Source organism: Homo sapiens, chromosome 21 (genome assembly GCF_000001405.40).
Source record: "Homo sapiens chromosome 21, GRCh38.p14 Primary Assembly".
Taxonomy (NCBI): Eukaryota; Metazoa; Chordata; class Mammalia; order Primates; family Hominidae; genus Homo; species Homo sapiens.
This window is the reverse complement of record NC_000021.9, coordinates 31,145,009-31,169,190: the sequence shown is the minus strand read 5'-3', so window position 1 is coordinate 31,169,190 and position 24,182 is coordinate 31,145,009. Positions and strand designations below refer to the sequence as shown.

Here is a 24,182-nt window from a genome sequence, read left to right as displayed (position 1 = left end):
TCCCAAGTAGCTGGGATTACAGGCATGTGCCACCACCCCCAGCTAATTTTTGTATTTTTAGTAGAGATGGCATTTCACCGTGTTGGCCACACTGGTCTTGAACTCCTGACCTCAGATGATCCACCCGCCTCAGCCTCCCAAAAGTGCTGGGATTACAGGCATGAGCCACCGTGTTCAGCCCCCTTTCTTCTTTTAAAAAAATATTTTAAGCATACTTATTTGACATTCTACATCTGATCATTGCGGTGTCATTCCTTGGTGGCCTGATTTTGTCAGTTATTGTGTCTGTTGCCTCTTGCTCATAGTGATGTGTTGCCTCTTGTGTTTTATAATATGGGATTATGGGTTCTTCTTTGACCAAGCTCTATCTCTGGGTATTATATGATATCATCATTAAGAGTGAATTCTACCAGAGTAGATTTGTTTTTGCTCCTACCAGATGCCTTGGAATACAAACATATGAAGTCAGTCCTATGATTAGAATGTCAGGGGGCCTGGCACAGTGGCTTACACCTGTAATCCTAGCACTTGGGGAGGCCAAGACAGGTGGATCACGAGGTTAGGAGATCGAGACCATCCTGGCTAACATGGTGAAACCCTGTCTCTACTAAAAATACAAAAAATTAGCAGGGCGTGGTGGCAGGCGCCTGTAGTACCAGCTACTCAGGAGACTGAGGCAGGAGAATGGTGTGAACCCGGGAGGTAGAGCTGGCAGTGAGCCGAGATTGCGCCACTGCACTCCAGCCTGGGCCACAGAGCGAGACTCCATCTCAAAAAAGAAAAAGAATCTCAGGGAACAGGCTGGGCCTGGTGGCTCATGCCTCTAATCCCAGCACTTTGGGGGGCCGAGGTGGGCAGATCACCTGAGGTCAAGAGTTCAAGACCAGCCTGGCAAACATGGCAAAACCCCATTTCTACTAAAAATACAGAAATTAGCCAGCGTGGTGACGGGCACCTGTAATCCCAGCTACTCAGGAGGCTGAGGCAGGAGAATCACTTGAACCCATGGGGCGGAGGTTGCAGTGAACTGAGATCACACCACTGCACTCCAGCCTGGTCGACAGAGTGAAACTACGTCTCCAAAAAAAAAAAAAAATAATAAGAATCTCAGGGAAGAAACCTGCTGTATTCCTTTTCCACCCTCCTACCCCAAAGTATAGGCAGAATTTCTTTTTCCATCTCTTTTTCTTTTGCCAGTGAGCACTTTTCTCTTTTAGTCTATGTCTTTTTAGACTGAGGGGTGTAGCCCCTCAGGGGAACCATATGAATGTGGGACATTCACTTCTAACTCCTGAAGTTGTACTGACCCAAGCCCTGTTTTCTGTATCATGTATCATGGGCTTACAGTTAAAACCGAAGGCTCCAGGGAGTGGGTCTCAAACTGGGTGGTGCTGCTGTTGGGAAATGTGTGGGTACATTTTTGATTGTCACAGTGGCAATCAAGTCCTAATCGTTTGGTGCTCAGGAGCCAGGGAGCCTAGTGCCAAGTGTACCTACGAAGTGCACAATTCTGTCCCAAAAGAATTGTCCCCCTGCTAACACCAACAGGTTCTCACACCCTGTGGGAAACGCCGTTTTAGGGCTTGGGGATTGATGGATATACTTAGGCTGCCATAGCATGGACACTACCCCACTTCCTTTATCAACTTTATCTTCTTCATTTGGGCTTTGGAGAGTTTTCGGAGCTCAGCTTTGTTTAAAAAGGACATTTGTTTTACTTTATTTAGCATTTCTAAGTGTTTTGTAGATTTATTTGTTTGCTCTTCAGGAAACCTGGCTCTCAACGGTATTATTAAAAATGAAAATCCAGCCGGGCACTGTGGCTCATGCCTGTAATCCCAGCACTTTGGGAGGCCGAGGTGGGCGCATTCAGGAGTTCAAAACCAGCCTCACCAACATGGTGAAACCCTGTCTCTACTAAAAATACAAAAGTTAGCCGGACATGGTGGTGCACACCTGTAATCCCAGCTACTGGGGAGGCTGAGGCAGGAGAATCACTTGAACCCAGGACTCAGAGGTTGAAGTGAGCTGAGATTGCACCACTGCACTCCAGCCTGAGTGACAAGAGTGAAACTCCATCTCAAAAAAAAAAAAAAAAAAAAGGAAATCCTTTTATTTGCTTTCCCACTATTTTATGAGCATCAGCTATCCTAGGCATTGTGAGCGATGGGATGTGCAGGGTTACAGCATTTCTCTGCACAGTGTATATGGGTTGTTCAACTCCAGGAGGTTGTGATTCTGCAGACCACAGTGTGAAGGGGGCCCCTGTCAGTCGTGCCTCCTGGCTGCTCCGGACGTCCCACTGAGGATGCTGTGGTTCCTGTGATCAGAGCACTGAGTGCTGTTGCCATTGTGTTCCCAGATGAGCTTGTCAGCTGTTCCACATCAGGGATCAGTACCTGTACCTAGGTCATTGCCCCTGTGCAAAATATTCAAGCACTTTTGCTTTGGCAATGGCAGTTGCCATAGATGATATCTGCCAAGTTAACTGAGCTTCCTTCTTTGACCACTACCACCTTAAGAGCAAGTAATGAGTGATTGAATACTGAAAAGTAACACAAGAAAATCCAAGAGCCAGAGCCAAAAGGTGGGGAAACACACAGAAACCTCTAAGCCATTCAGGGTACACTCACTTAGTTGGTGCTTCATTCCAGAGAAGAAAGGGATGGTAGGAGGCAGCATTGGTGCCAAGTTTGCTCAGGGGTCCACTTCCTCCCTAACTTTCCTGGCCAGCTTGGACCTGAATAGAAAGTGTTGCCAGGCAGCTTACAGCTGTAATGGTGTCATTGGAGCAAGGTAGCCACTTTGCAGACGGAATCTTTCATCTAAAGCATCAGGGGCTCCTTCTGCTCCCATTTCTTCTCTTTCCTTCTCTCTTGTCTGGTTATATTGATAGTGCTCTAGTCCGTGATCCAGTGCCTCATATTTTAGGACAGTGGTACTCAATCCACTGTCTTCTCAGATTCAATTAGAGAAGGTTTTTAATGTTCTAGAGTCTTTCTATTCCAAGTGTGGTCCATGGACCTGCAGTTTTGATTAGTATCATTCGGAGCTAGTAAGGAACACACAGTCTTAGGCCCAACCCCATGCCTGTTGAATGAGAATCTGCATTAAACATGTTCCCCTGGGGATCCAGATGCTCTGTCAGTTTGAGAAGCACCCCAGGGGAAAGTGATCCTCATATTCTCTTCTCAACGCAGAGGACCACTATAGAGAACCACTGTGGTGGGCACTCAGTAAATAGCAAAGGAAGAAAGTTGCTTGCACTTTTGCACAGAATATCATGGGAAGAGCAGGTATTATAAGATGTTTATAGTTTGCCAGACATGGCAAAAACAGACGTTGCAGGATTTTTCAGGTAATGGATATGGGACAGTCATTTTTTTTGTTGTACTGTTCTCAGTATGGCTTATTTAATTATTTTAGTAATTAATGAATTAATTCATCAATTTGCTAATTGTAAAATCAACAAAATCAGTTAATTTTTTAGTATATAATATATATATTCTTTTATTATAAATTATTATTGTCTTAACTTAGGCTGTTGTAACAAAATACCATAAACTGAGTGGCTTAAACAACACTCATTTATTTCTCATGGTTTTAGAGCCTGGGAAGCCCCATCATCTGGGTACTAACCAATTCAGTTTCCTGGTGAGGGCTCTTTTCCTGGCTTACAGACGGCTGCCTTTTTACTGTGTCCTTACATGGTAGAGAGAAAACGAACTCTGGTTTCTATCTCTTCTTATGACACTAATCTCATCCATGGGGACCCCACCCTCATGACCTCATCTAAACTTAATTACTTCCCAAACATCCCTCTTCTAACTACTATTACATTGAGGGGTAGGTCTTCAACATAAGAATTTGTATGGGGGGAGACAAAGACATTCAATCCACAACAACTATTATTTATTATGAAAAATATAAAGTAATAATACTAGTAGTAACAGTAACAACTATCATTTTAATTTGATTGAGCCCAGGTGATGGAGCTTGTACTTGGAGGGTCTTACAGTATATGTACATGTCATGAGCGAGATTCCTTGTCCCCCTCACACAGGGGTGGCTTTTAGCAATTACTGTCCATGTTGACCCACATTTTCTTCTGATTTCATCTGACAGGGCACAGCCTTTGCAGCGAGCAGGGCAGCAGTGCTGAGACCGCTCCAGAGGAGACCGAGGGGCCAGACTTGGAATCCTCAGATGAGACTGATCACAGCAGCAAGGTGAGAGATTTTCATTTTCACATCCCATGCTTTGAACCACTGAAGAATCACAGCTGACAATGTCACCTACACAGCTGTATGTGGTTACCAGGCCTCTCCATGGACGAAGTGTTTTTGCTTCTGAGATGTTGCTGAATAGCAGGAAATGAAATCCAAATTATAGCCTTGGTAACAAACCTGTATGTGAGAATATAGGGGAGAAATCACTCGTAATGAAATAAAATCCCTTTTCTTAAATTTCTGCCACTGCTGGAGCTCCCAGTTAATGCCATAATTTTATTCCATTTCCCTATTACATCTTCATTTGTGTAGGATGAAACAGCATCAAAAGTATGTGGGATTGAGTCAGCTATGCTTTCTTGCTACTTAGGGTTTCTGTAATGAACTCCTTTTGAATTACCTGCATTCAGCTCTTGTTAAAAGTGAGCAACTTTTATGTTAAAGGGAAAGAAACCATATTTTAAAATTAATCCAAATACACTTTCCCTTAGTTGAACATAGTAAGAAAGTTCTCCTGACTTTTTGGTGCAAGACACTGAAATTGTTGCCCATAATTTTTTTTTTTTTTTTTTGAGATGGAGTCTCGCTCTGTCGCCCAGGCTAGAGGGCAGTGGCGTGATCTCGGCTCACTGCAAGCTCCGCCTCCCGGGTTCACGCCATTCTTCTGCCTCAGCCTCCCGAGTAGCTAGGACTACAGGCACCCGCCACCACGCCCTGCTAATTTTTTGTATTTTTAGTAGAGACAGGGTTTCACCGTGTTAGCCAGGATGGTCTCGATCTCCTGACCTCGTGATCCACCCGCCTTGGCCTCCCAAAGTGCTGGGATTACAGGCGTGAGCCACTGCACCCGGCCTGTTGCCCATAACTTATCATGCTTCTATTCCACTTCATAAAGAGTTCCATGGGTCAGTAGCCTCTTTTACCACAGTCTTCAAAACACAACCCAACTTAAAACCTCTGTGTTACCTGAATCCAAACGACACTGCCCCCGCAAAAAAAGCAATTGCGTGTGATTTTGTTTCCATACTTATTCATCTTTTTCTATAATGTTGTTGAGATATGTATATTTCTCTACGATCTCTCTTTTTTTTGCTTGACGCTTACTAGTCACTTAACCTAAGCAAATCACATAACTGTATACTTTTGTTTTCTCATCTGCAAAATCAGGGTGATTCTTACCTTTGCTTGGAGATTGGATTTTTGGGTGGGTCAAATAATATAACTATGAGAAAGCACATTGATAATGGAAAAATGCTTTTCAAACATGAACTATTATTTTGAAAACCTACGTTTGTACATTTCCTGTTTTGATTCCCCCTGTATGTGTATATTCTGTAGGACTTTCTTGTGTGCACATATTTGATTCTTCAGTATCTTTTATCCATATTTGTTTCTCTTTCCTGACTGTAGGATCTTCATTCTCAGTGTCTTTTTAAGTTGGGCACAATATAAAATTTAATATTTGAAAGCAACATTAATATTTATAGACTGAAAGGCATTATGTTGTTGGTTGTTAATTAAAAAGCAGATCATTGGAAATGCACATGTTTCCTTTTAAGGCAAATTTAAAAAACCAACTGCTTAAAGTTCCTTTTTATTTAGGTGACCCTTACATTTCTTTTACCCACTTACTTTTGTGGGGTCGGTCAGTTGTCCTCAGGAGAAACAGATATTTCTATACTGATGTAAGACAATTTGAAGGGTATCTATTAAGTTACAGTATTATAAGAACTAAAAATATTAATTTTCAATTTCTAACTGGATTTAGGCAAATAGCTATTTTTCCTGTATCTAAAACATTTATTTCTGAACACTTAAAAAGTATTGGATCCAAAATGATTAGGTCATTTTTACTTTACTTTGATAGGTCAGTGTTCTCATCTCCTTGTGGATTTTGAGAGAGATCGTTTCCATGTTAAATATAGTGAGTCATGAGGTCATAAACAGAGTCCTGTATAATATGAGGTTCTGGCAGTGGAGAGGACGGAAGAGGCTCCAGGGCTTTGCTGACTGGTCCCATGTGTCGCTCTGACTCCGTGGTTCTTTTTCCAGAGAACAAGGCTCTTGAACTTATCTGGAACATGAAGGGTCAAATATAGAAATAGATGGTGCTGTTCAAAGATTTTCTTGTAGAAATTCTTAGTGGGCTTTCTAAAAAGGGACAGAATTTTCTCAAAATTATTGACAAGCTACTCGGGAGGCTGAGGCAGGAGAATTGCTTGAACCTGGGAGACAGAGGTTGCAGTGAGTCAAGATCGCGCCACTGCACTCCAGCCTGGGAGACAGTGTGGGACTCCATCTCAAAAAAAAAAAAAAAAAGATTAAGAAGTTTGGGTGATGATTTGAATATATTTTAAAGATCATGCAGTAGACTGCATTCAAACCATAAGTTCGTATTTCATTCTGCTGGGTTGGATGTGGGGAGCACTGTGTAATTCTGTGTCCGAAATACTTCCTGGTTTTGCTTTGATTCAGACTTCATCTTCTCTATTTGAAATTTTGTCATGCAACTCAAATTAGTTAGCTAAAATAACCTTTGGTCAATTAAATTTCTCACTTAGGGTATTTGAACGCAAAAAGCTTAAATGAGCAGTTCTTGGTGGCTGGGTTCTACTGTGTGTTATTAATAGTAAATGAGAAGTAATACTTATTTAAGGTCTTGTATATATTAGGCACTGTTCCATATTAACTCATCTTAGCCTCACAACACTCTTGAGGGAGATACTATTATCTGCCCTATTTTATAGATGAGGGCACTGGAACAGAGAGGTTAAGCGACTTGCTGAAGGTCACACAGCTCTGTGATGACAAAACCAGGATGCAAACCTGGTTTGGCTCCAGGTCTTGTCTTGTTAGTGGCTATGTTAAAACTACCTTGTGTCCAGATTGTTAACATCTGGTTTTAAATACTGGGTTTCATAAAAAGAAGGAATTAATTTATTAGTGGTGCTGTAGGCCATTTATATATACAGCCATAAACCACTTAAATTTTTTCCTAATGCTTAATGTTTCTGTGTGTCTCTTTTTATGATTTAAAGTAAGAGCAAGAAAACACCTGAAGTTTCTTGATCAAGGCTAAATATTTTTTGATGCGTCTCCTATATAAGTGTGAAGCTTTTCTTGAGAATAAGCTGAAAATTAATTTTTCAATCGTTAGCTGTCTAAACTCGGAAGCATGATTTAGCCTTGTCTGAATGCACGAGGCTGAGTGTAGAGATGTAAATGTGTAAATAACTAAATAAACAGAAACAAATAATCACTTTTTATTCCAGCTGAATATGTTAGAGCTGTTGATTTTGTGTAATATTCTTGGTTTCTTTCTAAATGGACTGTTTTACATGATATCGGTCAGCATAAAGAAAAAGCATGTTGGAGTTCTGTATGTTTTGCACTTGTACTGAATAGCAGTTTTTGCTATGTGTGGCCTTTTAGAGTTGAGCAAGTAAATAATTGTATGCTTGTTGTTGAGCGTGGTGGTACTGGAATGTCACAGCCGCTGGGGAGGGGCAGGGGAATGTCACACTGCAGGGACAGTCTAGCAGCCTTTCTCTTTCTGAGCCGCCTCCTCTCTCCTGTGACTGTGGGTGACAACCTCAAAAAGCCTCATCATCACTGGCTACTTTTTTCTCTGCTTCTCATTGAAAACTCTTGTTTCTGGAGATGAATGCTAATTAGCTTCAGGGCAGTGCGGTCATGTGTCATGCATTCCAGGCCGCCTGGCAGCTGTGATTGTGTTTTCCATTTAGCAAATGTATTAGAATAATTTTCAGGACATTTCCATTAGGAATGACTTTTTCTTTCTCATCCATATTGTTTTTGTCTCAGAAATGTCTGCTTTTATAACAAAGCATGAGTGGAAAAATGTGAAATTATCAACTGTTAAACACACACACACACACACACACACACACACACACACACACACAACTTTTCTTAGTTGCCTGCTCTTGACTCAGTGTGGAATACCTTGAAAGTTGTCGGAGCCGGGCAGGTTTAATATTCCTGAGCAGTGCAGGATGCTGGCCAATCAGCTGATCTCAGGCTGCAGGGCAGAGACGCTTACATCCCGGGGAGGCATTTTGTGCTTTGTTTTCTTGCCAGTTTCAGCTCTCCCTTTCTGGAACTTTTGTTGTTTAGCCAGGTGAAATCAAAGCCTGAGTTCTGGTCCACAGTTTAGCCTTTGACAGCTTCCCAGAGGGCACTGGTGGGAAGCGAGTGCAGCTCCGGGGTCTCACCGTCGCTGTCCTTGCTGCGTTGAGACGTGGCCGTAGATTTTCATGGGAAAACCAGCATGGGACGTCCATATGAGAGGATGCTCTCTTCAGAGCTAGGAGGCGTTTGGTGCTCTGGGAATATTTTAAGAAACTTCTGTCTCCGTGCTGAACACGTCAGGTGGTAGAATTAATTACCATGAGAATACATTCCTGATGATGTCTGCACTGTGGAAAATAAAGCGCAAGCCCAGGATTGAAAACAATGACAAGTCCGGTGACTCTATGTATCGAACACTTCATCTGGTGAGCGCCTTTGCTGTTTGAATCCTATCTTGCTAGGTTTGATTGTGTTATGACTTTCTAGCTCAGTTGTTTTTCAATCCGAATGACAGTGATTACACCTTTCCCATTTCCCCGTATTCTGTCCTTTTACCCTCTGGATACCCTTGTTCATAAAGTCTGTATTGTGGCTTTTGGTGGGGGACGTGGGGAGGTTCAGAGTTGGTATGGAGTTGAATTTGCCTAGCATCTTTACATTTTTCTACTCTTTTATACTTAAATGGCAGAAAGATGTAATCTGCATTTTTTTGTTTAATTAATGGTCAGTTGCATTTTTTGCCTTTGTTTTGGTTATTGAGATTTTGATTGTGTTTTGTGTTACGTGCATGGTGAGAATCTCCCATCCCCCCTCAGAACGGGCTGTCCGAGTGATCGGCAGGGAGGTCTGGAAATAGGATGTTCAACTTGTTTCCTTTTATAAGGCTTGAGGTGTTTTTGACTTTATTTCTGCTTCCTTGAGAAGGAGATAGATATAGAAGGGTTGGCTCAGGGGACGTGTTACTGGTTTGACAGCAACTGACCTATTTGAACAGGTCTATTCCTACAGTAAATATTCACTCTCCAATGAGGAAGTGTAGTGGGGTAATGGCAAGAAATAATTTAGCAAAATCAGATTCAACCTTTTAATAGTTTATTATTAATAGCTCAGTCTGTCGACTATTAGATGTTGTGTCATTTAATCAAACTTAAACTTCTACAGTGCGTACACCTGATTTGCTCAAATAAGCCTTCTTCCTTCTTGGATATTTCTTCTTTGAAGTTTGTTCAAGAGGAAACTGAAAAGGTGATCGAGAACTGTAGGGATTACCATTGTACATAGTGTCTCTGAAATTATGGAGCGCATTGTCCCCAAAAAAAGCTTAAGTAAAGGCTATAAGATTTTAGGCCACTCTGGCCCCTTTTAAATCTGTGGGATGTGTTAAATCGGTCAGACTCAAAGAACAGTTTTAGAACTGTGAACTCATCTAGAGTTAGAAATTGCCTTTGGTGGTTGCATAACAGGAAGAGCTTAAACAGCTGGGTGGCTTGAGTTGATAGTGTGTACTTAAAAGTCTACCCCCTCTTTTTGTACTTTCTTTTCATCTTCCACAGGAGGAAAGCAGCATTATAAACATTGAGCATCACGCTGGTCTCAGTAAAGTGGCCCATTTCCTCTTGCCATTGTCCTCTCCTTGTCTGTATGTTGGTTGGATAATTCTTAGTCCTGACAGTGGAAAAGCTCTGCTACCCTTTAACAGTTTTAAACTCTCAAAATGCCTGTAAGTACTTTTTTGGTTTCCAGGGTGACTGATTACAGTCCTCAAGTAGGGGAGAGGTTTTTACTTTCCCCACTGGAGAAACCTGGTCTGCCTTCCCCTTGCTGGAGTCCTAAGCTGCTTGTCCCACATCCAGGATACTTGGCTTTTGGGAGCGTGTTGAGAAGCTCCCATTGAGGCGACCTTTCTTGGCACTTGTGGCTACAGCGCTTGGTGTGGGAATGACTAGGATGCCATCTGTAACACTCAGTGGTGGAGCGGGGCAAAGCCTTGAACCCAACTCCTCCTATATTCCACATCATGGCTAAGCTGCGTGGAGAAGGGCCTGATGGATTTTGATGTAAAGAAGTTTGGCCACAGTAAAGAGGGAGGGGGATTTAAAAGCTGAGCCCCACAGTATGGAAAAATCTCTAGCTTAGAGGTATTCTAAAGAAAACCTGCATTTCATAATTCCTTCCAAAAAAAATTTGGGGGGGTGTTATTTTAATAAAACAGAATTTTCAAACTTGATGACATCCTTTTAATTTGTTTCCAAGCAAATTTTAAGAGGCTTGTATATAACACCGCTTAACAACATGTATGTGCATTATAACTTGTAATGATGCATATGGTACCTTTTTATTCTTTATTCAAATAACGTGCAGTTGACAGTAAAGAGATTACATCCATCTGGACTCAGTTCCTTGTGCTACACCTGAGGGTTGGTGCCTTGATTCATTGAGTAGGGTTGCCGGTGGGGAAACTGCTTTGCCCCTTGCTCAACTTGAGAGACCACTCAGCTAAGTCTATCCTAGGCCTAGGTCGTACCTAATAAGGAAGGGATACTTAAGGCTGTGAAATGTCCAAAGAGGACCCAAGGGAATTTTAGCTGTCCCCTGAGATGCTAAAGGTGTTTCCTAATATAAGCCAGAACTTATCTCTGGCTGTCTGAGGGTGAGGTTGGGCCTAGGAGACAGCTGAATTTAGAGGACTGAAGCCCTAGCCTGCATCCTACTAACCTGAGCTCACCCCACAGGCCTGCTTCAAACTAAGGATGCCAAACCTCAGGCGTGGTAAACTTACATAGACCAAGTCAGAAACCCTGTTCACACTCTTAAAAATGGAATTCTCAAAGTATTTATGGTAGAACAGATGGAATGAAAACCCAGAGGTAGTGAGGTGTGAATTGGAAGCACAAAGGAATGTGTTAGGTTCCTTTGTCTTTTGGAATTTCCTGCCTTTGATATGTGTCAGATCCCCATGTTTGCCTTTCGTGAATCACGATTTCACACAGTTTGCCTAAATGATAAAAGGTGTGCTCTGCCTCTGTGGCAGTTCCTCAGATAACGTTTTGTTCAACATCATTTCATCATAACGTTTATGTGAAAAAAATTGATTTCTAGCCAGGACCACTGTCTGCGTGGAATTTGCATGTTAAATCCAGGTCTTCGTGGGTTTTCTCTGGGTACTCGGGTTTGCTCTCACAGCCCAAAAACGCGCACATGGGATGAATTGGCATGTCTCAGTGGTCCCTGAGTGAGTGTGTATGTGTGTGCACCCTGTGATGGAATGGCATTCTATTCAGGGTTGGTTTCTGCCTTGCACCCTGAGCTGTCAAGATAGGCTCCAGTCACCCATGATCCTGAGCTGGAATAAGTGGGTTGGAAAATGAGTGAATAAGTGAATACAAATCATTATAAAATAAAAACTTGTAAAGTATACAATCATACAAATGCATAGCAGGAAACTATGCAGTACAAAAGTATTCAGAGATCCTGCCAAAGTTGTTCTTGCTAGTTTTTGAACTGCATGATGGTAGGAGGTGCCCCTTAACAATTTTTGCTTTGCAAACATTTATTGCTTGACTTAACACACTACCGCTATGACCACCGTCACTCACCAGTTCACCAAAAGCTGGGTAAATAGTTCTCTTAACTTGTTTTTATTTATCTTACTTAAATGGATATCTGGCTTACATTTATTTCAGTGTTTAATATTAGAAGTCTTTTGGTCTTTATTTAGAAGCGTGGTGATTTTTTCTTTGACCAGAAATGTGCTGTAGGAACTTAACTTGTTTGTATCAATTAGCCTACAGTAAAAATGGTTTCTTTATGCCGTTTAGCTTAAAGTCAGTTTCCAAGAACCTATAAACCATGTTAAGTGAGGACTCACTGTAATAGACTGCAGTGAAGAATATATTTGCTATGAGCAGTAGCTTTCCTATTAATTCTGTGAAAAACAGACAGCTGTGGTTACTGTTGGAAGCTTTAGAAAAGGATGGTATAAAGCGAGGTGCCAATTATACATTTGTTGTGTTAGGTGCCTTTGCCAGGTACCAAATCAAAGCAACCAAGGAGAGTTTGGGATAAGACAGGGACAGGGCACAGTTAGTTGTCAGCTGTTATCACTGTCTGTCCATGGATTTTCATTTTGGCAAGGGTTTGCTTTCTTTCTCATTATGACTGTGTTATAATGAGTTTTCTATTACAGTTATCACTGGATCATCTAAAAGACACATGAAGATTTTTTGCTAAAATGGATGTATTTGTTCCTTTGTAATTTTTAAGACAAAGCCCTACTTGACTGTATATTTAATGATGATTTTGAGTTAGTGAAATTCTAGCTAACTAAATAAAATTGTTTAGTTTATTTCTACTGAAACAAGCTTTGATGAAAAACACAGTTTTTCTTTTCTAACAGCCTTGTTGAGATATAATTTACATACCATAGAGCTGAGCCCATTTTGGTCAATTTTTCCAGTCAGTCACCTAAGGGAAAATTGTTTGTGGGGTTACTCAGTGTCAGAAACATGCATTTCCACAGAAAACATTGAATAGTGCCACTGACAGGTGACTGACACCTTCTGGCATATAAGACCAGGGTTAGTGCTAGCAATGAATAAGCTGTGGTAATTGTAAGAGAATTAGAATAATAATTATGTGGATGTGGGTCCTGGCTCTCCTCTGTCCTGTCATGCCACTGCAGCTAATGCATCCTTCTTAGGTTCTGATTTTCCCTGTCCTTGCCTCATCTTTATTCCAGACTTCCTTCCCTTTTGGATATGCTAATGAGGGAAAGGCTCTTCAGTGTTGGCTGCCTTCCTCTGTGTTTAAAACTCCTCCATGGCATACACTTGATTTTAGCTTTTCTGACCTACACAAAACAGCAGCCTTGACTTTTAGCTCTGTGCACCAACGATTGTTTTTGGGAGGGTATTCTCATGTTCTTGCTAGGTAGGTGGATGATAGAAGAAGTTATTCTTTATTTGCACCGGTATTTACTGGAAATGCTTTGTGCCTAGAGTTGAATTAGACAATAGAAGCAGAGAGAGAAGCGTGAGAAGGACAGCCACTAGCTTCAAGAAAATTTCCGGGGCCGGGCGCGGTGGCTCACGCCTGTAATCCCAGCACTTTGGGAGGCCAAGGCGGGTGGATCACAAGGTCAGATTGAGACCATCCTGGCCAACATGTTGAAATCCCGTCTCTCCTAAAAATACAAAAAAATAGCCGGGCGTGGTGGCGGGCGCCTGTAGTCCCAGCTGCTCGGGAGGCTGAGGCAGGAGAATGGCGTGAACCCGGAAGGTGGAGCTTGCTGTGAGCTGAGATCGCACCACTGCACTCCAGCCTGGGTGACAGAGCGAGACTCCGTCTCAAAAAAAAAAAAAGTAAGAAAATTTCCATCAAACATTCATTGAGTGGTGCTTTGGAACAAATATTAGTGAATTAAATTTTGTGCTACTACATAGCCTCTAGAGCAATTACACAGAGAGCTTTAAAACATATTGATATCTGCATATCCCACCCCAGAGATTCTGATGAAATTGATCTCTGGTGTGCATGGGCATCGGGAGGTTGAAAAGCTCCCCAGTGATTCTCATAAGCAGCCAAGTTGGAAAACTACTGGTCTCATGGGTTTTTACAGCAGCCCTTGCTTTGGAGAACTGTTTGTGTAACTGGAAGAGTTGGAATTTTAGAATCCTGGAATCCTACGTTTCAAATGGATGACAAAACGTGTGCAACCTTTATGGTCTACACCTGATTCATCCCTGGTAGATGTGGAGACTGGGATCTCCCATTGAGGCCTATTTTAGGGCTAATCTCGTTATTCTTAAAGGGGAGTGGTATCTTTTTGCCTTTGGAGAAGCTGGAGAGGGAGAAACTTTTATTTAAGTATGGGTATCTTTCTTAATCTAGAAAGTTGACTCAGTGTCCATTTTTAACAGGAAGAACCTTAGCTTGTAAAATCATCTTTGCAACATTGCAAAGTAGATAGTTTACTGAACTGGGAGTCTGATAATTAATGAGGCTTGTACCTTGGGTGAAATGCAGCTAACTTTTATGTCTCCTGATTTATCGACTTCTTGCTTGGGGAGTGGTTAAGATCCATAGGCTTTGAAACCAGATTGCCTGGTTCAAATCCCAGCTCTGCCACTTACGTACTGCATCATCTTGGATGAGTTACTTAACCCCTCTGGGCTTCCGTTGTCCTTACCGTGTGGGCAGATGAAATGCATTAGACCGGCACTAGGCGTGTGGTAAGCGATGAGTGTATGTTAGCAATTGTTATCCTGGTTGTTATGAGCATTCAAGAAGCTCTCCTAAATGTGGAGCAATTTGTGGAAACACAAGACGACATTCATATGTGACAGTTGACTAACCAGGGAGAACACCTCTAGGCGGTCCAGGTGTCAGGTGCGTCTAATGAGGGATAATGACCTCTGCCTTCCCTTCCCCCCTGTGCTCCGAAGAGTACAGAACAGGTGGCCGCATTTTGCCGCAGTTTGCATGAGATGAACCCCTCTGACCAGAGCCCATCTCCTCAGGACTCCACGGGGCCTCAGCTGGCGACCATGAGACAACTCTCGGATGCAGATAAGCTGCGCAAGGTGATCTGCGAGCTCCTGGAGACGGAGCGCACCTACGTGAAGGTATGTTTCTTTTTTCTCCCCCTGCCCTCCCTCTGCCTCGTAAAGGAGTGAAGTTGGTGTGTCTGCTGGTTTTCATTAACAGCTGATTTAAACTGTGTTCATGAAGAGCGTCTTGGTTTCTCCTGGAATTTTGCCTATACTCTGAATGTTAAAAGCTTGTTTTGAGTTGTTTTTTTTGTTTTTTTAAGATAGTCTCACTCTGTTGGCCAGGCTGGAGTACAGTGGTGTGATCATAGCTCACTGCAGCCTTTACTTCCTGCGCTCAAGTAATCCTCCCTCCTCAGCCTCCTGAGTAGCTGGGACCACAGGTGCATGCCACCATGCCCAGCCCCGTTTTCTGTTTTTTTTTGTAGAGAGGAGGTTTCACCATGTTGCCCATGCTGGTTTCGAACTCATGGGCTCAAGCGATCCTCCCACCTTGGCCTCCCAAAGTACTGGGACTATAGGCGTGAGAGCTACCACGCCCAGCCTTCTTGTGATTTTTAAGGAAGCCTAGTGATTTTCACGGCAATTCATTTATATATATATATATATGTATGTGTTGTTGACCTAATAAGAAAGCTACATTTAATTTTTTTAAAAGTTGAGGGTATGATCTTCATAATCTAATTAGAATCTAGCCAGAAGACTGCCAGGTCTGTTGTCTTTGTGTTATCACTTGTTCTGACACCTGGTCACATTTCCTATGCGAAAGCAGGGTGATCTGTTTAAGTATCTATATCTTAGTCTTTTAAATCAGGGGTTAGCAAACGACGGCTCTCAGGTCAAATCCAGCTCGCTGCCTGTTTTCGCAAATAAAGTTTGATGAGAACACAGCCACGCTCATTCCTTGACATATTGTCTATGCCTGCTTGGGTGCTACAGTTGAAGAAGTTGCAATGGAGACCGTATTTTAGTCCTCGAAGCCTAAAATATTGACAGAAAAGGTTGGCTTACTCCTGCATGAAATGGACCTTAACGACCTAAAGTCTCTAACGTTAGCCTTCGGGACAGGATCTGTTTGTTCTCTTCTAGATCCTTTTATAGACATTAACATATGCTTTATACTTTAAGTTCTAGGGTATATAAAAAATAAAACACATAAGCTAATGAGTTCTCTTTTCAATTCTTAGGATTTAAACTGTCTTATGGAGAGATACCTAAAGCCTCTTCAAAAAGAAACTTTTCTCACCCAGGATGAGGTATGCTGGAAATGGTTTCAACTTTGTGACCATCATACCGTGGTTTGACTTGTTGGTAAAGAGGAAAAATGGGGACATGCGTAACACTGAAAACATTTTAAATTTATTTAATTGTAACTAGCTGAAATTATTGCCTGCTAAGCTTTGGTGTGCTCATGAAGAGTAAAAAACTGCCCCGCTCTCTGGTAGTGGGATTATTCTCTTAATTGATAAGAATTGATAGAAAAACCTTGTAATCAGATATAAATAACGTTTAGGAAGACTAATGAGATATGAGGTGCATTAAATTCTGTTTTATTTCTAGCTTGACGTGCTTTTTGGAAATTTAACGGAAATGGTAGAGTTTCAAGTAGAATTCCTTAAAACTCTAGAAGATGGAGTGAGACTGGTACCTGATTTGGAAAAGCTTGAGAAGGTTGATCAATTTAAGGTAAATAGTGCAAAGCTGCCTCCAGCGTCAGGGCTATAGTGTGGCTCAAGTTGAATCCCCTGATCGTGTTGATGTCTTCATTGGAGGGCCACAGTGGGGTCTGTTCCTAAGGGTGTCTGAGAGGGAGGGGAATGGAGTGTGTCTTGCTGGTCTGGCTAAGGGAAGCCCAATGCCATCAATTTGCATTAAACTGGTGCAGCTGCTGGCTTTTACGTGAGAAGAAGTACCAACCTTGACCTTTTGTTTGGTTTATGTGGGGGCCTTTAATGCTTTAGCTATCAGTGAATTAGAATAGGCACTCCTGGCTGGGCATGGTGGCTCACGCCTGTAATCCCAGCACTTTGGGAGGCCAAGGCGGGCAGATCACCTGAGGTCAGGAGTTTGAGACCAGCCTGGCCAACGTGGCAAAATCCCATCTCTACAAAAAGTATAAAAATTAGCTGGGCATGGTGGTGGGCACCTGTAATTCCAGCTACTCAGGAGGCTGAGGCAGGAGAATCGCTTGAACCTGAGATGCAGAGGTTGCAGTGAGCCGAGATTGCAGCACTGCTCTCCAGTCTGGGGGACAAGAACGAGGCTCCGTCTTACAAAAAAAAAAAAAAAAAAAAAAAAAAGGCACTTCTGGTTACCCAGTAAACAAATTAATTTATCGTGTTCTGGGAAACTTTGCTTAATGGAAATGCTTATCATTATCCAGGGGAAAGACAATCTTCCAGCACACGGTGTCCTTGCAGCCTAATGAGGATTTATGACTAGTGCCTTAGCAAGGATGCTTATTTCCTCTCCCCTGCTTGGCTTTCTTTTATTGCAGATTTCCTGTGTTGCACCTCCAATTAACAAAGCACATTGCTTCATGTGTTGGCTTACGTGTCACCCTCATGTGCTTTAACAGATTAATTGGGGTATAATTGTGCAGTAGAATATGCTGCATATACTTAGTGTGGAATTTGATGAATTCACACACACACACCCCTATGAAACCATCGTCACAATCAGGACAATGCACATAATCATTTCTCCTGAAAGTCTTGTCCTGCCCTTTTGTGGTTTTTCTCTTCTGCCTCTTACTGCCCTCCCACTCTACCCCTGCTCCATGCTCTGCTCCCTGTTATGTTAAATATGTTTGCATTCTGGAATTTTATATTGGTGGAATCCCATACCAAGTACCCGTTTTTCTGGGGCTGCTTCCACTCAGCGTAGTTGTACTGAGATCCGTCCATATTGCTGTGTGTATCAAGAGCTCATCCCTTTTCATTGCTGCATTGTCTTCCATTGAATGGATAGACCACACTTTGTTATCCATTCACCTTTCTTGGGCATTTGGGTTGTTTCCAGTTTTTGGTAATTACAAATAAAGCTGCTGTGAACATATGTGTACAAGTTTTAGTATGGATATATGCTCTCATTTCTCTTAAGTACCCAGGAAGGGAATGGTTGGGTCATATGGTAAGGGTATGTTTAACTTTTTAAGAAACTGCTCAACTGTTTTACAAAGTGGTTATACCATTGCAGCTCCCTCCAGCAGTTCCTCCTCATTGTTCTGCTGAGGTCACAGTCACTTTCTCTTTTTAGCTATTCTAACAGGTGTGTAGTAGCAGCTCATTATGGTTCTAATTTTAATTTCCCTAATGACTTACGATGATGAGCGTCTTCTGTTATGTGCTTGTTTTTTGCCCTCAGTATATCCACCTTGGTGAAGTGTTTGTTCAAATAATTTGCTCATTTATTTTACTGGGTTATTTGTTTACTAATATTGAGTTTTGAGAGTTCTTTGTATATCCTTTATAAGTCCTTTATCAGATACATGATTTGTAAATATTTTTTTCTGTATTTGAGGCCCATCTTTTCATTTTCTTGACAGTGCCCTTCACAGAGCAGAAGTTTTTAATTTTGATGAAGTACAGTTTTTCAAATTTTCCCTTTTTGAATCACACTTTTGGTGTCTTATCTATGAAATCTTTGCCTAAAGATTTTTTCCTGTGTTTACTCTTAGAAGTTTTGTAGTTTTCTCTTAGAAGTTTTATAGTTTTACATTTAGACTTCTGATCTATTTGAACTTAAATTTGTTATGGTTTAATGTAGGAATCAAAGTTAATTTGTGTGTGTATGAATATCCAATTTTTCTAATCCTGTTTGTTGCAATGGCTGTCGTTTGATCCTTTTTCCACTCAATTTCTTTTGCATTTGTGTTAAGAATGAGCTGTTCATATGTGTATAGGCCCCCATACACTTTGCCTGCCTTCTAACACTTGCAGGAATCTAGCTGTGTAATGTTAGGGTACAAGTTTTGGAGCCGGGGTAAAGACTGCCTCACCTCGATATTCTACCTCAATATATGTTTTTTTGTGTATGTGTTATCTCTTTACATTGCCTCTCTGCAACAGGAGCTACTAAGAATTACATACAAACACACATAAGTATGTGAATATATATGTATATATTATAGGTGTTCATTTTTGTTTGGGTATAATTTCAGACTTACAGAAAAGTTACAAGAATAGTGCAGAGAATTCCTGAATACCCTTCATCTAGATTCCCCAAATGGTAGCATTGGGCTACATTTGCTTTATTCTTTCTTTCCCTCCCTGTCTCCTATGTGTATATGTATCCATATGTGCATGTGTGTACATTATGCATGTATGGTGTGTCTATGTGTACATATAAAATATTTTCTTCCAAAACCATTTAAGAGAAAGTTGTAGGCACAATAATATATCTTTCACCCTAAATACTCCATATAGTTCATTTTTGTGTTCAAAAATTGCTTGTTGGTGGTTATGCTCTTCATTTGAAATAAGTTAGGTTCATTGTAGTGATACCTGTTTTCTAAATTAGTAAATTGATAATTTGCACAGTAGAACACATAATGTGGCCTGGTAGTTAGATAAACAAAAAAGCTGCTTAATAAAAATGGATATATTCTGGAGGCCAGGGTTGGTTAAAATATGGTTATAGACATACTTTAAAATACTACGTTTTAACCTAAAGTAGCTAACATTCATTATATTCATTTACAAGTCTTTTGCTGTGGGGCTGGTTCTTTGAGTTTGGGTCCAGTTAATCACTAAAAAGATTCACAAAAAGGAGACTTTGGGTACCAGAACTTTGATATAGACTTGAGTGTACTGAGAGCAGTGTTATTCTAGGGAGAGGCAGGTACATTGCTTCTTTTAGTGACAGGTGGAGCATCTCAAATCTGAAAATCTGAAATCCAAACTGCTCTAAAATTGGAAACTTTTTGAGTGCCAACATGTTGCTCTAAGGAAATGGCCATTGGAGCATTCTGGATTTTCGATTTTTGATGCTCAACCAGTAAATATAATGCAGATATTCCCAAATATGAAAAAATATGAAATCTGAAGTACTTCTGGTCACAAGTATTTTGGATCAAGGATACCAAACCGGTACTTCCATACTCAACCATCACTCTTCTCAATTCCACATAAGTGGGACCCTCTTCATATACCTTCACTTTGCTGTTTATGGCACAATCTGATTGTCTCCATTCCATCTGTAAGGTGAGATGGCTCATGAACACTAGTGTGCCTGCCTGCAGGATTCTCTCCAGGCTCTCTGAGTTGGTTTCCAGATTTGCTCCCAAACCTGTTGCTGCTGATTTCCACAATTGCTGCTCTTTTTAAACTCCTCATTGTATATTTGACCAAAAAAAAAAGAAAAAGAAAAACTTGTTAAAATCTTCAAACTGTGTTGCATAGAGCACTAGTCTCAAGGTAGTATCAGAAGGAAATAATTAGTTCTGATGTCAAATAAGTTTTGATAAAATTTTCATTTGGAAATTTGCAATGTACGTCAGCCTGTGAGAAGCGTTCTGAAGTCCTACAGAACAGAAACATTGGGGAAGTGGAGTCTTTGTGTATAAACCCTCATATTTGTGTGCACATTGTTCCCTGAGAATCAATTTTTAAGGCGGGAGGAATAAGTGAATACCTTAGTGTTTCATCTGTGGTTATGGTAGGGTAAATAAACAGTAAATATTAAGTTAAATAAATGAATGGCTTTAGGATGGCTAAAGGGAGGGGTTACATTTAGCACATTTTCTTCCACAACTTTTTTTGCTTAATTCTTGGGTATGACTCTGTATTAGTTCATTTTCACATTGCTATGAAGAAATACCTGAGATTGGGTAATTTGTAAAGAAAAAGAGGTTTAATGGACTCACAGTCCCTCATGGCTGGGGAGGCCTCAGGAGGAGCAAAGTCACATCTTACATGGCGGCAGGCAAGAGAGCGTGTGCAGGGGAACCGCCCTTTATAAAAACCATCAGATCTCCTGAGACTTATTCGCTATCATGAGAACAGCACAGGAAAAACCTGCCTCCATTATTCAGTTACCTCTCACAACATATGGGGATTATGGGAGCTACAATTCAAGGTGAGATTTGAGTGAGGACACAGCCAAACCATATCAGGCTCCAAGGATAACTCCCTCACAGAGTCCGATGGCAGTACCCAGGGTACTCCTGCTGACACCCTCCAAGCCAGGGTGGAGATTTGCGGAGGGCTTGGAAAGTAAAGGAGGAAAAGGAGAACACGTAAGAAGAGTAGTGAGGCATCTAATTACCAATTATGTATGGTTTAAAATAAACCTTTTTTTTTTTTTTTTTTTTTTTTGGTCATGGACAGACTCAGAATCCTCTGCATTGTTCATTAGATAAATTGCACTTTGGGGAACCTAGTTTGTTACTCAAATTCAAAACCTTATTTCTTTGCTTGAACCCTGCCTTTTAATTCTAAGCCTCAATAAGCTAAATAAGGTCCCTCTCTAAACAAGACTCTTTCAGTGTGAAACAGAAGGTGTTTTTCTGAGGCCATATATATATATATATATTTTAATATAATATATTAATATAATATATTAATTATATATTATATATTTTTATATATTATATATTTTATATATTATATAAAATATATATTTTATAGAATATATATTTATATATATCTATATATTATATATTTACATATAACATATCTCTATATATAATGTGTGGGATACAAAGTATCTTCTCAGGCATAGTAAAATCTTAATGAGAAGGCCTCTACCCAGTTGTGATCCTACTGGGACAGGGCAGAGAGGCTGGGGAGATGATACCTGACTTCCATAGTTGAGCGTGTTTCTTCCTTTAATATTGCTTATGTTCTTAGTTGCTAGAGGAGAAGGTGGTTTTGGAAGGCATGAAGATAGTGATCAGAGGAACATGTTTTCTGCTTCGGGGGCGGGAGGTATGAGCATTTCCTGCCTTTATTTAGTTTGCCAACAGGAGCTAATGAGAGAATTGAGATTTCTGACTTTTCCAAAGTATATACTTTCTCATCAACATTCAAACAGCCCGGATAGGTTATTAAAAGACACAGACCTGGAAAACCAGGGACATCTACCCTATAAATACTAAGAAGACAAAAAGTCCAACACCTTTTACACAAACTTGTACAAGCACATACTTTGTAATGGGCAATTTTAGGGCATTTGATAGCAAAGAAAGGCTCTGACAGGCACGGAAGATGTTGATTTGTGGGGTGGGCCAGGCAGATGTGAGCTCCCTGCCATAACCTGCTGATATTTCCAGTGGAGGAAGGAAACAACCAACTGTGCCTTTTCTCGTCAAATCCAGAAAGTGCTGTTCTCTCTGGGGGGATCATTCCTGTATTATGCTGACCGCTTCAAGCTCTACAGTGCCTTCTGCGCCAGCCACACAAAAGTTCCCAAGGTCCTGGTGAAAGGTAAGGCCTCTGAGGATGTGGAGGTGGGGGTGTGTTGCTTGTCAGTTGTGTGGCTGACAGTGGTTGGGGGCTTTTGGGCAGAAATCTAAGAGTCATTGGTTGCCAGATAGATGTTCCAGCAAGCCACTGATATGGGTGCTGAGCAATGTAATGTATTCATTTTTTTTTCATTTTTTTTTTTTTTGAGACAGAGTCTCACTCTGTTGCCCAGGCTGGAGTGCAGTGGCACGATCTTGGCTCACTGCGACCTCTGCCTCCCAGGTTCAAGTGATTCTCCTGCCTCAGCCTCCCGAGTAGCTGGGATTACAGGCGTGCACCACCACACCTGGCTAATTTTTGTATTTTTAGCAGAGATGGAGTTTCGCCACGTTGGCCAGGCTGGTCTCGAACTCCTGACCTCAGGTGATCCACCCGCCTCGACCTCCCAAAGTGCTGGGATTACAGGCGTGAGCCACTGCTCCCTGCCTTGTTTTTTTTTTTTTTTTTTTTTTGACACAGAGCCTTGCTCTGTCACTTGGGCTGGAACCTCCACCTCCCAGGTCAAGCGATTCTTCTGCCTCAGCCTCCTGAGTAGCTGGGACTACAGGCCCCTGCCACCACACCTGGCTAATTTTTGTATTTTTTGGTAGAGATGGGGTTTCACCATGTTGGCCAGGCTGGTCTTGAATTCCTGACCTCAGGTGATCCGCCCACCTCGGCCTCCTACAGTGCTAGGATTACCTGGCCAATATCTTGAATTAATGGTTTTGTCAATTTTCTTGTAATGAAAGTTTTACCTTGCTATTTGGGGCCAGAATTGATGGGTCATTTTGCAGTTATGTAAAAACGTAGGGGGTTTAGAAATTCCCTGCTTTATTTCTGTTTTTCTTTAATTTCGATTATAACCTACCACACTTCATAACTAAGTCCTCACTTCACGTTGTCGACAGGTTCTTGGAAACTGTGACTTTTAAGTGACACGATGTACAGCAGGTTCCCAACTAATGTCATTTTGTTCAACATCATTTTGTTATAATGTTGATGAGGAAAAAAATTGGTTTCATTGTATGTCATTTTGCATAAAGTTGCAGTTTCCAAGAACTTACTGACTACATTAAGTGAGGACTTACCGTATACCTTTTTGTGGAATTTTATCTTTCCTTCACCTACTTTTGTTCCTGGGAGTGTGATAACAGCTCCCAAAAGCACTTCTAAAGTTGTCTCAGTTATCCTTGAAAACTGCTGCATTTGTAGTTATTTTTGTGCAGGACACAGTAGAATTTTTATATGGGCAAGCTGCTTTTCCTTAAGTGCTCTGAGAAGACGGTGGAACATTCTGAGAGTCTCCAGAAAGTGGTTATGTCGCCATAGTTCAGCATATGGTGGTTTTTGATGGTAAAAGGATTAAGGAAACATTTTCTTGGCAAACAGTTGCACCAACAGAAAGTTTGATTTTAAAGAATCTCTGGAAATCAGCTTGCTGTTCCTTAACACTTCACTGTAGCTGCCAAGTAAACAGCTGCTGATCAGGTCCCCGGATATGTAAATAATGTTCTTGTGTTTATGTTTGCTGCCAAAGAGAACTAGCTTGACTTAATTTAAAACCTATTATAGGAAGTATTAGCACAATACAGATCTCTGGGTAACAAAGAGCCTGCCCCAGATAAAAACAGTCTTAACGGTAGTGGTGGTCTGTGCAACAGAGTTCTGGTGGAACCTCAAATGAAAAGGGGACCTGGGATTCTCCTTGTCATGCTGCCTGACCTTTCCCGTGTGCTGTGTTGGGCATATGGCTCTGTGTGTGCAGTGTGTTTCTTTTAAAACCTTTATTGAATGCTAATTGTTACGAGATTGTTAAAGTAACAATTTTAGAGTGCTTTGCTCCACAGTGAAATTATATACCCATC

At 41.3% G+C, this 24,182-nt stretch overlaps 1 protein-coding gene across 14 annotated transcripts in view, besides 1 other annotated feature; it reads left to right on the top strand.

The window, feature by feature from the left end:
* The window catches only part of TIAM1 (TIAM Rac1 associated GEF 1), a 440,670-nt gene that overhangs the window by 389,897 nt on the left and 26,591 nt on the right, over positions 1 to 24,182 (top strand). For 11 of the 14 annotated variants that reach the window (NM_001353690.1, NM_003253.3, NM_001353688.1 and 8 more), the window contains 5 exons: positions 4,126 to 4,229; positions 14,765 to 14,944; positions 16,057 to 16,125; positions 16,430 to 16,555; positions 22,188 to 22,296. In NM_001353690.1, coding sequence (NP_001340619.1) covers positions 4,126 to 4,229; positions 14,765 to 14,944; positions 16,057 to 16,125; positions 16,430 to 16,555; positions 22,188 to 22,296 — 588 coding nt within the window. Of the gene's footprint in view, positions 1 to 4,125; positions 4,230 to 8,254; positions 8,747 to 14,764; positions 14,945 to 16,056; positions 16,126 to 16,429; positions 16,556 to 22,187; positions 22,297 to 24,182 lie in introns of those variants that run through there. The other 3 variants (NM_001353686.2, NM_001353685.2, NM_001353684.2) reach the window with 3 other exon arrangements.
* Positions 9,988 to 10,517: an enhancer, noted in NCBI's record as "OCT4-NANOG-H3K27ac hESC enhancer chr21:32530991-32531520 (GRCh37/hg19 assembly coordinates)". NCBI's record gives its function as "activates a minimal SCP1, AML or CMV promoter by ChIP-STARR-seq in naive H9 embryonic stem cells {active_cell/tissue: H9 hESC(naive)}" and the evidence as "EXISTENCE:reporter gene assay evidence [ECO:0000049][PMID:30033119]".